Raw genomic sequence first — 13,411 nt, 5'->3', positions numbered from 1 at the left:
CTAGTACTTTGGGAGGCTGAGGCGGGCAGATCACCTGAGGTCAGGAGTTCAAGACCAGCCTGGCCAACATGGTGAAACCTCACCTTTGCTAAAAATAAAAAATGAGCCAGGCATGGTGGCACATGCCTGTAATACCAGCTACGCAGGAGGCTGAGACAGGAAAATTCCTTGAACCCAGGAGGCAGAGGCTGCAGTGAGCCAAGATTGTGCCACTGCACTCCAGCCTGGGTGACAAAATGAGACCCCATCTCAAAAAAAAAAAAAAAAAAAAAGATTCAGCCTTTTTTCATAATACCTAAAAATAACTTCAGAGTTCTTTTCACCAAAGTAAAATAGTTTTCTTTATTAAAAAGATTATCATAGACATATAGTAAAATGGAATAGAACAGAATTTCCAAAAATGGACCCACACAAATATATTTATTTAACTTTCAACAAAGCAGCCAATGTAATTCAATGGGGGAAAAGATAGACTTTTCAATAATAGTGCTGGAACAACTGGATATTCACATGGAAAAACTCTGACCCTTAACTATAGGTTAGAGCTAAAACTATAAAACTTCTAAATCTATAAAACATAGGAGAAAATCTCTGGGGCCTTGGGTTAGACAAATATTTCTGTTCTTTTCTTTTGAGACGGTCTCCCTCCATCACCCAGGCTGGAGTGCACTGGAGCGATCCCGGCTCACCGCAACTTCCGCCTCCCAGGTCCCAGCGATTCTCTTGCCTCAGCCTCCCGAGTAGCTGGGATTACAGGCACGTGCCACCACACCCAGCTATTTTTTTTGTATTTTTAGTAGAGATGAGGTTTCACCATGTTGGCCAGGCTGGTCTCAAATACCTGGCCTCAAGTGATCTGCCCACCTCAGCCTTCCAAAGTGCTGGGCTTATAGGCATGAGCCACCACACCTGGACAAGAAAAAGACTTCCTAGGTAGGATGCTGTAATCCCAGCACTTTGGGAGGCTCTATAGAAAAATACAAAAATTACCTGGGCGTCATGGTGTGCACCAGTAGTCCCAGTTACTTGGCGGGCTGAGGTAGGAGGATTGCTTGAGTCTGGGTAGTTGAGGCTGCAGTGAGCCATGATCATACCACTGCACTCCAGCCTGGGCAACAGAATGAGACCATGTCTTAAAAATAAAATAAAACAGGATGCAAAAAGCACAAGCCATAAAAAAAAATTTGGTAATTTGTACTTGAAAATTTTAAACTTCTGCTTTTTTTTTTTTTTTTAGATGGAGTTTTACTCTGTTGCCCAGGATGGAGTGCAGTGGCACAAGCTCGGCTCACCGCAACCTGCAATTCCCGGGTTCAAGCGATTCTCCTGCCTCAGCCTCCCGGGTAGCTGGGATTACAGACGCAGACCACTAAGCCTGGCTAATTTTTTGTATTTTTAGTAGAGATGGGGTTTCACCATGTTGGCCAGGCTGGTCTGGAACTCATGACCTCAGGTGATCCACCTGCCTTGGCCTCCCAAAGTGCTGGGATTACAGGCGTGAGCCTCCACGCCCAGCCTAAACTGCTTTTTGAAACACACTGTTGCCGGGCATGGTGGCTCACGCCTGTAATCCCAGCACTTTGGGAGGCTGAGGCAGGCAGATCACCTGAGATCGGGAGTTCGAGACCAGCCTGACCAACATGGAGAAACCCCATCTCTACTAAAAATACAAAATTAACCAGGCGTGGTGGCACATGCCTGTAATCCCATGCCTGTAATCCCTAGGGAGGCTGAGGCAGGAGAATCACTTGAACCTGGGAGGTGGAGGTTGCAGTGAGCCGAGATCGTGCCATTGCACCAGCCTGGGCGACAAGAGTGAAACTCCATCTGAAAAAAAAAAAAAAAGAAAGAAAAGAAAAATTAAGAAATAAGCTACAGACTGGGAGAAAACACTTTCAAAGCATGTATCTGATAAAGGCCTTGTATCCAGGCTATATGGACAATATTTTCAACTCTATAATAAGACAAATAACCCAATTAATAAATGGGCAAAAAAATTGAACAAATACTCCACTAAATAAAATATAAAAGCAAATAAGCATATGAAAAGATGTACAACATCATTGGTTATTTGTGAAATGAAAATTAACCACAATGGGCTATCACGGCACCCAATAGAATGGCTGACACTTAAAAGACCAGCAAGATCAAGTACATTAGAGGATGGGGAACAACTAGAACTCTCATGCATTGCTGGCGGGAATGCAAAATAGTACACCACCTTTGGAAAAATTTGGCAGTATTTTAAAAAGTTAAATGTACATTACTATACAACCCAGCAATCCCACTCCTAAGTAGTTATCCAAGAGAAATAAAAACACACGTCTATATGAAGACTGTTATGTAAATGTTCACAGCAGCTTTATTAATAAATAGCCTAAAACTAGAAACAACCCAAATGTCCATCAACTGGTGAATCGATAAATTGTGATATGTGCCTATAATGGAATATATTACTTGGCATTAAAAAGGAATTAACTGGCTGAGCGTGGTGGCTCATGCCTATAATCCCAGTGCTCTGGGAGGCCAGGCAGGATCCCTTGAGCCCAGGAATTCAAGACAGCCTGGACAACATACTGATACCCCATCTCTACAAAAATAAAAAAATTAACTGGGGCTGGGCACGGTGGCTCATGCCTGTAATCCCAGTATTTTGGGAGGCCAAGGGGGGTAGATCACCCGAGGTCAGGAGTTTGAGACCAGCCTGGCCAACATGGCGAAACCCAGTCTCTACTAAAAATACAAAAATTATCCGGGCATGGTGGCGGACTCTTGTAATTCCAGCTACTTAGGAGGCTGAGGCAGGAGAATCGCTTGAATCTGGGAGGTGGAGGTTGCAGTGAGCTGAGAGCCATTGCACTCCAGCATGGGTGACGAGCAAAATTCCGTCTCAAAAAAAAAAAAAAAGAAAGAAATTACTTGGAAGTATTGTTAAAAATACAGATTTGGGGACTTCACTCCAGTGATTTTGATTTTTAGATCTGGGGCAGAAAATAGAAATGAGCATTTTTTTTTTTTTTTTTTTTTTGAGACGGAGTCTCTCTCAGTCACCCAGGTTGGAGTGCAATGGCGCGATCTCCTCTCACTGCAAGCTCCGCCTCCCGGTTCACGCCATTCTCCTGCCTCAGCCTCCTGAGTAGCTGGGACTACAGGCACCCGCCACCACGCCTTGTTAATTTTTTTGTATTTTTAGTAGAGACGGGGTTTCACCGTGTTAGTCACGATGGTCTCGATCTCCTGACCTTGTGACCCGCCTGCCTCGGCCTCCCAAAGTGCTGGGATTACAGGCGTGAGCCACCATGCCCAGCCAGAAATGAGCATTTTTAACCAGACCTCTAGGTGATTCTGATATAGGTAGTCTTTAGCTTTAAGGCACAGGGTTAAGAGGTCCCCAGTTCTCCTAAGATAGAACTCAAACTCCTTAACATGTCTTCATGCCTTATAAGATCTAGTCCCTGCTTAGCTTTTCACCTTCATCTGTAAGTACCACCTCCTACAACCTAGACTTAAGCTATACTGTATTTTCCCATTTTTAAAGTAAACATAGCCCTATAATGCTTTGTTCTCCCCTGTTGATCCTACCCCATCTAACCTTTCAGCGAGCCAACCAAACACACACACACACACATAATGATACACACCTCTGCCTTGCTAATACCTATTTACCATTCAATTTAGACATCAATTCCTCTACTACGAAGACATCCTTGATTCCCAACTCTGGGATAAGTACCCCTCCTAAGGGCTACTAGCCTCCTGTATTTCCCTTACCATAACACAGTTATCTAAAGTATTCCACCTATTTAATTATTCATCCCACTGAATCACTGTCTTGTTCTCCAGTGAATCCTCAGTGCTTCACACTGTACCTGGCATATTGTATGTACTTAATAAATATTTATTGTATTTAAAAATGAATGACTTTTACCTATAGAAGTATGAAGTAAGGGAAGCAGAATTTAAAAATTGTACTTACTCCAGCCTAGCTGGAGTAAGTACAACATGGTGAAATGTTGTCTCTACTAAAAATACAAAAATTAGCCAGGTGTGGTGGCGCACTCTTGTAATCCCAGCCACTCAGGAGGCTGAGGCAGGAGAACTGCTTAAACCTGGGAGGCAAAGGTTGCAGTGAGCCAAGATCATGCCATTGCACTCCAGCCTGGGGACAAGAGCGAGACTTCGTCTCAGGAAAAAAAAAAAGAAAAAAGAAAGTAATCCTATTTACAATAGCTACAAATAAAACAAAATACCCAGGAATTAACTTAACCAAAGAAATAAAAGAGCTCTATAGTGAAAATCATAAAACACTGAGGCAAGAAATTGAAGAGAACATGAAAAAATGGAAATATATTCCATGTTCATGGATTGGCAGAATCAATATTGTTTAAATATCCATACTACCCAAAGCAATCTACAGACTCAATGCAATGCTATCAAAATACCAATGACATTCTTTACAAAAATAGAAAAAGCAATTCTAAAATTTATATTTCAGATATAAATTTATCTAAAATTTATATTTCAGATATAAATTTATCTAAAATTTATATTTTAGATATTTTAGCCAAAGCTATCCTGAGCAAAAAGAAAAAAAAGTGGAAGAATCACATTACCTGACCTTGAATTATACTACAGAACTATAGTAACCAAAACAGCATGGGTACTGGCATAAAACCAGGCACATAGACCAATGGAACAGAATAGAGGATCCAGAAACAAATCTATACATCTATAGTAAACTCATTTTCAACAAAGGTGCCAAGAACACATATTGGGGAAAAGACAGTCTCTTCAATAAATGGTGGTGGGAAAAATGGATATCCAATATGCAGAAAAATGAAACTTAACCCCTACCTCTCAGCATATACAAAAATCGAATAAAAATGGATTAAAGACTTAAATCTAAGACCTCACACTATGAAACTACTAAAAGAAAACATTGGAAGAACTCTCCAGGACATTGAAGTGGGCAAAGATTTATTGAGTAATACCCCACAAGCACAGGCAATCAAAGCAAAAATGGACAAATGGGATCACATCAAGTTAAAAAGCTTCTGCATAGCAAAGGAAACCATGAACAAAGTGAAGAGACAACCCACAGAACAGGAGAAAAATATTTGCAAATATTTTCTCAGGATATATAAGGAGCTCAAACAACTGTATAGGAAAAAAAATCTAATAACTCAATTAAAAATGGGCAAAACATCCGAACAGACATTTCTCAAAAGAAGACATACAAATGGCAAACAGGTTTATGAAAAGGTGATCAACATAATTCATTGATCATCAGAGAAATGCAAATGAAAACTACAATGAGATATCATCTCACCCAGTTAAAATAGCTTTTATCCAAAAGACAGGCATTTATTATTATAAATGCTGGCAAGAATGTTGAGAAAAGGGAACCCTCGTACACTGTTGGTGGGAATATAAATTAGTACAACTATAACAGAGAACAGTTTGGAGGTTCCTCAAAAAACTAAAAATAGAGCTACTATACAATCCAGCAATTCCACTCCTAGGTATATACCCAAAAGAAAGGAAATCACTTTGTCAAAGAGATGTCTGCACTCTCATGTTTATTGCAGCACTATTATTCACAATAGCCAAGATTTGGAAGCAACCTAAGTGTCCATCAACAGATGAATGGGATAAAGAAAATGTGGTACCTATACACAGTGGAGTACTATTCAGCCATAAAAAAAAAGAGAGATCTCATGGGTGCAGTGGCTCACACCTGTAATCCCAGCACTTTGGGAGACCAAGGCAGGTGGATCACTTGAGCTCAAGAGTTTCAGACCAGCCTGGGCCACGTGGTGAAACCCTGTCTCTACAGAAAATACAAAAATTAGTAGGATGTGGTGGCATGTGCCTATGTAGTCCCAGCTACTCAGAAGGCTGACGTGGGAGGACTGTTTGAGCTCAGAGGTTGAGGCTGCAATGAGCCACGATCACACCACTGCATTCCAGCCTAGGCAACAGAGTGAGACCCTGTCTCAAAACAAACAAACAAAACCCCCTAGAAGTTCATATTTTGGTAAGAGTAAAAAATAATTTGGAAGTGGATAGTACTCTTTGGTTGACTCAATTCTTCCAACTATGGAAGGCAAGCAGAAGAGAGAATATGGTTAAACAGATCTTGATTCTCAAGTTTATAATCTAAGGTAAACAATATTTTTTCAAGAATGTTTACTGCCCAGGTGTGGTGGCTCATGCCTGTAATCAAAGCATTTTGGGAGGCCAAGGCAGGCAAGTCACTTGAGGTCAGGAGTTCAAGACATGGTGAAACCCCATTTTCTTTTTTCTTTTTTTTTTTTTTGAGACAGAGTTTTGCTCCTGTTGCCAAGGCTGGAGTGCAATGGCGCAATCTCAGCTCACCTCAACCTCTGCCTCCCGGGTTCAAGTGATTTTCCTGCCTCAGCCTCCCGAGTAGCTGAGATTACAGGCATGTACCACCACGGCCGGCTAATTTTGTATTTTAAGTAAAGACGGGGTTTCTCCATGTTGGTCAGGCTGGTCTTGAACTCCCAACCTCAGGTGATCCACCCACCTTGGCCTCCCAAAGTGCTGGGATTACAGGTGTGAGCCACTGCGAATGGCCAAAACCCCGTCTTTACAAAAAAAATTAGCCAGGCGTTGTGGTGCACACCTGTAATCCCAGCTACTTGGGAGGCTGAGGCATGAGAATCCCTTGAACCTGGGAGGCGGAGGTTGCACTGAGCCGAGATTGTGCCACTGCACTCCAGCCTGCGTAACAAAGTGAGACTCTGTCTCAAAAAAAAAAGAATGTTTACCTATCTATCATAGCTTGCCAGGAATAAAAACAAAATAAAAAACAAGAATATTTACCAAAAAAAAGACATCTGATTGATCAACTATAACTATAAACTGAAATGAAAAAAAAGTTTGGCAGTAAGTAGACTAGATCTAGATAAATAACAATATATGAGATTATTAACTATAAATAATTTTGGAACATTTTTCTTTGGTTTATTCCTAAGGACATGGCAGAAGTTTCATTTTACCAAATGCTTAATGAATTACACCTTTATATACTAAAAGAAGAAGGAGGAACAGAAATCTAAGCTCCTAGTTTGTCAGCTAAGTAAGACATGCCATTTTATTGAATCCCCAAAAGTCAATTAGGAATGAACCTGTAATTCCCATTAGGAAACTATGGTTGAAAAGTTAAGTAACTTGTTCAGGAAAGAACAAAGCAGGTAGGGTGGAAAGTGGGAACAGAGTTAACATTTATTATCAAGTTTGTAGTAAGCAATACCAAATATTTTACATACATTTTCTTGTTTGAGCTTCACATTACCCCTAAAAATACATACTACTCATTAATGTGCTAATAAACAACCAGCTCCCTGGGGAGATAATGTGTGCATATCTATATCTATCTATATAAATCTATAAAAATGTTACTAATATAAAGCATGTGTAGCTTACAGCTTACAAATAATAAATATAAAATACTCTTTTTGTGAATTCCACACAGCCAGTTGATTCCACAAGCTTTCAATAATTTTTCCAAACTCTTCTACCTCAGCCAATTTATGATGGCAATTCAACCATCATTCGATGTTTTCAATCTGCTAATCTTTTCCCAACATATTTCTTGTCCTTAAGTGTGACATTTGATTTACTATTAAACTACCATTCCTCATCCATTACCATTTTTCAACCTCATACAAACTTATTAAAATGAAACTTCTTTCAGTTTTAGCACTATTGATTGCAATAATGCTATCTTTTTAGCTTTTTGTATAATTGCAGGGATTGTAATTTTGTTTGATTCTAAATTATTACTTGCAAAATCTTGAAAATAACTCAAGGCCAGGCATGGTGGCTCACACCTGTAATCCCAGCACTTTGGGAGGCCGAGGTGGGCGCATCACTTGCGGTCAGGAGTTCGAGACCAACCTGACCAACATGATGAAACCCTGTCTCTACTAAAAATACAAAAAATTGCTGGGCGTGGTGGCAGGCGCCTGTAATCCCAGCTACTTGGGAGGCTGAGGCAGGAGAATCGTTTGAACCTGGGAGGTGGAGGTTGCTGTGAGCTGAGATCACGCCACTGCACTCTAGCCTGGGTGACAGAGCGAGACTCCATATCAAAAAAAAAGAAAAAATAATTCAAAATACATGTTTTAAAATTTCACTTAAATGATATTATTTTCCACAGTGAAGAAGTCCAAGAAGGTGATTTTAACAAATAAAAACAACTTAAAATGATGTTTCTAATAAAAGACATGTATTCATTACTTTTTAGTAACACATTCTTAGGCAGAGGTTTAAATCTATTTTTGACTAGGTGTGGCAGTTCATGCCTGTAAGCCCAGTGCTTTGGGAGTCCAAGATGAGAAGATTGCTTGAGGCCAAGAGTTCAAGACCAGCCTAGGCAACATGTGACACCCCATCTCTACCAAAAGTTTTTAAAAATTAGCCAGGTGTAGTGGCATGTGCCTGTCGTCCCAGCTACTTGAGAGGCAGAGGCACGAGAATCACTTGAGTTCAGGAGTGTGAGGTTGTAATGAGCTATGATTGTGCCACAGCACTCCAACCTGGGCAACAGAGTGAGACCCTGCCTCAAAAAAAAAATTATTAAATGGAATGACTTCAAACTGATGACTTAACCAAATATTCAACTTGAGAGTCATGCTTTCTAATGCCAATTTTTAATTTTTCCAAAGCTTTTATAGTGCATTCTATTAATTTTTTAATTTTCTGAATGTTGGTTGATCTTAACTGCAGTGCAACTGAAAGTAATGAAAATTATTTAAGAATATCAATCATTAAAGTAAGGTATTACAAGAAATTAATATTAGCTGATCTTGTTGCTAGGCCAGAATAAAAAGAATGAGAAAAATGCATTTATAATGTAGGATATGTGTGCCATGCAGCATTAGCGGTTGGTAAAGTACATGTCCACCCATCTCAACCTAAGTACTTGGCTAATTTTAATAATTTCAGTTTCAAGTTATTTAGCTATAATTTCCAACTGTTTCCTTTTTTTGGGTTGGTGGTAAACAGAATAAATTTTATCCATAATATTGTTATTTTTTCTTGAGACGGAGTCTCACTCTGTCTCAGGCTGGGGTGCAGTGGCACAATCTCAGTCCACTGCAACTTCCGCCTCCTGGGTTCAAGTGATTCTCCTGCCTCAGCCTCCCGAGTAGCTGTGACTACTGGCGTGCACCACCACGCCCAGTGAATTTTTGTATTTTTAGTAGAGACAGGCTTTCACCATGTTAGCCAAGCCAGTTCTGAATTCCTGACCTCAAGTTATCCGCCTGCCTCGGCCTTCTAAAGTGCTGGAATTACAGGCATGAGCCACCGTGCCCAGACTATCCAGAATATTTTTAAATGATTGACTTGTTTTATTTCAGATACTGAATTATAATTGGTAACAGAACCAAATGATGACATTAGGAAATTTTTCTGACAAATCTGTGGCCACTCCAGTCTTCTTTCCCATTATTGTGAAAGCACCATTAAAACAAAATGCAGCTTACTTTCAACTATTCATTATTAAATTTCAAATATTCATTACTGAAGCCACATTTAAAGTAGACAATATCGGCTGGGCGCGGCGGTTCACGCCTGTAATCCCAGCACTTTGGGAGGCCAAGGCTGGTCGATCACTAGAGGTCAAGAGTTTGAGACCGGCCTGGCCAACATGGTGAAACCCTGTCTCTACTAAAAATACAAAAATTAGCTGGGCTTGGTGGTGCACGCCTGTAATCCCAGCTACTTGGTTGAGACAGGAGAATCACTTGAACCCAGGGGGCAGAGGTTGCAGTGAGCCAAGATCGTGCCAGTGCACTCCAGCCTGAGGGACAGAGCACAACTCTGCCTCAAAAGAAAAAAAGTAAAATAGACAATAATGTAGTAGAAATATAATCTGTGTGGCAGACACCAATTACTTTTTTTTTTTTTTTTGGAGATGGAGTCTCGCTCTGTTGCCCAGGCTGGAGTGCAATGGTGTGATCTCTGCTCACTGCAACCTGTGTCTCTGGAGTTCAAGCGATTCTCCTGCCTCAGCCTCCTGAGTAGCTGGGACTACAGGCGCACACTACTACACCTGGCTAATTTTTGTATTTTTAGTAGAGATGGGATTTCACCATGTTGTCCAGGCTGGTCTCGAACTTCTGACCTCGTGATCCGCCCACTTGTGATCTGCCCACCTCAGCCTCCCAAAGTGCTGGGATTATAGGCGTGAGCCACCGTGCCCAGCTGACACCAATTCTTTTAAAGCAACAAATATCTTTACCAGTACAGAAGCTTATTCAACTGTGTACTGGAGATAAATCTCTAGGTAATTTTCTTCCAATATGTAGATGTCTCATCAATTATAGTGCATATTTGCCATTCTCTTCCAAGATTCTTAAATATGTTGACATAATTTCTTTTGCAGTATGTTCTGCTATTCTTGTTGCACCGTATCATGTATGTAAACATTTGCCTGTATCTACTCCATTTTTCCCTTTCAACTCTATTGTTCCCTTCACTATCAGATAAAGGCCTATGAGTTTTTTGTTTGAGACAGGGTCTTGTTCTGTCGCCCAGGCTGGAGTGCAGTGGTGTGATCTCGGCTCATTACAATCTCCAACTCCTGGGCTCAAGGCATCCTCCCACTTCACACTCCCAGGTAACTGGGATTACAGGCACACACCACCACACCCAGCTTTTTTGTCTGTTTATTTTATTTGTTTGTAAAGACAGGGTTTTGCCATGTTGGCCAGGCTAGTCTCTAACTCCTGGCCTCAAGTGATCCCTGCCTGGGCCTCCCAAAGTGCTGGGATTACAGGTGTGAGCCACTGCACCTGGCCCATGCCCATTCTTTAAGTATTGTCTATGGCTACTTTGGCACATTTGGCACTACAGTGAGAGCTGAGTAGCTGTGACAGAGACTATAAGTCCCACAAAGCCTAAAATATTTACTATTTGGCTGTTTACACAAAAGGTTTGCTAACATATGGTCTAGAAAAATCAACAAAACAATAAATCACGCCCTGACTTGCTGCATTTGCCCATTTCCATGGTGTAAATACTCCCCTTACAGCCAATTTCGTGCTACCAATGTGACATTTCTGAATAGAGTTGGGAAGAGATGCATACAACATATGTAGTATTTCCACAGGGAATACAATGGACAAATAACCTCAAGAGCAGAATTATTAGTAAAATGAAGAAAAAAACTACAAAGTGATGAGTTTTTAATATTTATTATATTTAAAAATTTTTTTTTAGAAATAGGGTCTCACTCTGTTGCCCAGGCTGGAGTGCAGTGGTGTGATCATAGCTCACTGCAACATCAAACTTCTAGCCTCAAGCCATCTTCCCGCCTTAGCCTCCCAAAGCACTGGGATTACAAATGTGACTCAACATGCCTGGCCTATTACTTTTATTTTTAAGATAATTTAATTGTAGCTTATATAATTTGATTTCTAATAATGGTTGTGCTTATGACCTGGCTCATAAAATCCCTGAAAATTTAGCAATCAACCTAATGCTAGCTCTATCTTCAAAAGGAGGCTTTGGGAAAGCAAGTAATTTTTGTATCCACTAAAGCACAGAGCTAAAAAAAATTGGGGGGAGGGGAGACATCTATTGAGGGAACGCCACATGCAGGGTAACGTATTTTCTGGAGTACTATCCTGTATTGATATTGTATGCTCTTTAGCATTCCCATGCTGTCTGCCACTTTTGCTGGAGTCTTGATACTTGATACTGTTAATGCAAAATAAGTAGCAGGCCATTAGTTTGGAGTTGTTTTTGTACCCAGAAAGCAACCCAAAATTTAGAGGTATTCCTTGCACCTTTTGTTTGTTTTGTTTTTTTGAGATGGAGTCTCGTTCTCTCATCCAGGCTGGAGTGCAGTGGCGAGATCTCTGCTCACTGCAATCTCCACTTCCCGGGTTCAAGTCATTCTCGTGCCTCAGCCTCCCGAGTAGCTGGGATTACAGGCACTTACCACCACGTCCGGCTAATTTTTGTATTTTTAGTGGAGACGGTGCTTCGCCATGTTGGCTAGGCTGGTCTCGAACTCCTAACCTCAGGGGATCCGCCTGCCTCAGCCTCCCAAAGTGCTGGGATTACAGGTGTGAGCCACCGCGCCCGGCCCCTTGTACCTGATTTTGAATGGAGTTTCAACCAATCACAAACAGACAACCAGCCAAGTGGTTATATAATTAGGGACCTCCCATGTGACCATACCCAAATAAGGCAAACGCTTAGCTGTAGCCAATCAAATTTCTTTACTTTCGTGTTCAGCCTATAAAGTTTGATGCCTGGGCAGCTAGAGCAGGGGTGTCTGAGCCTCTTTTGGTTCTGACTGTTGTCCGATTCAAAATCTAAGTTTGTTTTGTCTGAAATTTTTATTTCTACAATACCTATCCAGAAATCAGTCTAGGCTGGATATTTGAAGGAAGAAGGGAATAACTGGCTGGCATATTCATCACCTGTTGGAAATCTCTCTTCTCACACATTTTCATTAACTTCTTGAGGAAGTGTAATTACAAGCGTTTTCCCACGAGCAGCCCCTACTAATAACGCATCAAGCTGCATGAATTCCGAAAAGCTTCAGAAAACTTGTGGTCTGAAACCCTACTATGCTTGAGGTACAGGAAAGAAGGATACTATCAAAAGGCATCATGCAGCTGGCACGGAACTGGGACAAGAATTTGGGGGCAGGATGGCCAAGTGCTAGGCCAATTGACGGTCTCCAAACCATTAGCACAGCTCCTATTCTGAATGGAGGAGTAAAAACAGCTGTTGGAGAACTTGGACGTCATCTGCCCTTGTCAAACCGTTTTCAGGATTAATGTACTTAATTCAGCTTTTTCCACTACACCACACAGCCTCCTGTAAAACACCCTCCCTGCACACAACTTACCCCCAAAGCACCAGGAACCTAGCTGGCTAGAGTTGAGCTTAGGAAAAACCTGAGTGGCTCCAGAGTCAAACTGCGATAACGTTGAGTCAGAGGAGTTAAGGACAAAGTAGAGCTGCACAGAGGCCCACGTCGTGCAAGTGCGTGTCTCCTTCAGAGAAAAGCGTGCCGAGGTAGACTAGGCCCCGGGCAGCAAAAACCCTGTCCCGTCGCCAGCGCCCCGCACCGCCAGAGCGACTGGAGCAGACGCGAGCGCTGGGCACGTAGCCGGTGGCGCGCACGCTCAGCCCGAGGCCGCACGGGAGGCTGTCTGGCGTGCGCGCCCCCGCGGCGGTGGGCGGGGTCCGGGGCGGGGCCGCAGGAGCAGTAGGTGTTAGCAGCTTGGTCGCGACAGGTGCGCTAGGTAGAGCGCCGGGACCTGTGACAGGGCTGGTAGCAGCGCAGAGGAAAGGCGGCTTTTAGCCAGGTAAGGGCCTTCTCTCTCCACAACCGGAGAGTGCGGGAAGACCCCGG

General features: G+C 41.9%; 1 protein-coding gene, 1 long non-coding RNA gene and 1 pseudogene across 9 annotated transcripts in view, besides 1 other annotated feature; 1 reads left to right on the top strand and 2 right to left on the bottom strand.

The window, feature by feature from the left end:
- Window positions 1-316: 316 nt before the first annotated feature.
- LOC107984505 (uncharacterized) lies at window positions 317-13,163 on the bottom strand. Its single transcript, XR_001749144.2, has 2 exons — window positions 12,902-13,163; window positions 317-1,108 (listed from the first exon to the last, which is right to left on the bottom strand). It is a non-coding gene; the product is annotated as an uncharacterized LOC107984505 (long non-coding RNA).
- Window positions 8,510-9,052, bottom strand: LOC100418734 (KIAA1586 pseudogene; annotated as a pseudogene).
- Window positions 13,044-13,353: a silencer, noted in NCBI's record as "silent region_4451". NCBI's record gives its function as "represses an Ori minimal core promoter by ATAC-STARR-seq in GM12878 lymphoblastoid cells {active_cell/tissue: GM12878}" and the evidence as "EXISTENCE:reporter gene assay evidence [ECO:0000049][PMID:35858748]".
- LIMA1 (LIM domain and actin binding 1) overlaps window positions 13,264-13,411 on the top strand; it is a 107,733-nt gene continuing 107,585 nt past the window's right edge. For all 8 annotated transcript variants that reach the window (NM_001394893.1, NM_001394892.1, NM_001394891.1 and 5 more), the window contains exon 1: window positions 13,264-13,364. The gene's annotated coding sequence lies outside the window, so the exon portion shown is untranslated. The remainder of the gene's footprint in view (window positions 13,365-13,411) is intronic.

This window comes from Homo sapiens, chromosome 12 (genome assembly GCF_000001405.40).
Source record: "Homo sapiens chromosome 12, GRCh38.p14 Primary Assembly".
Taxonomy (NCBI): Eukaryota; Metazoa; Chordata; class Mammalia; order Primates; family Hominidae; genus Homo; species Homo sapiens.
This window is presented reverse-complemented; position numbering and strand designations above follow the sequence as displayed.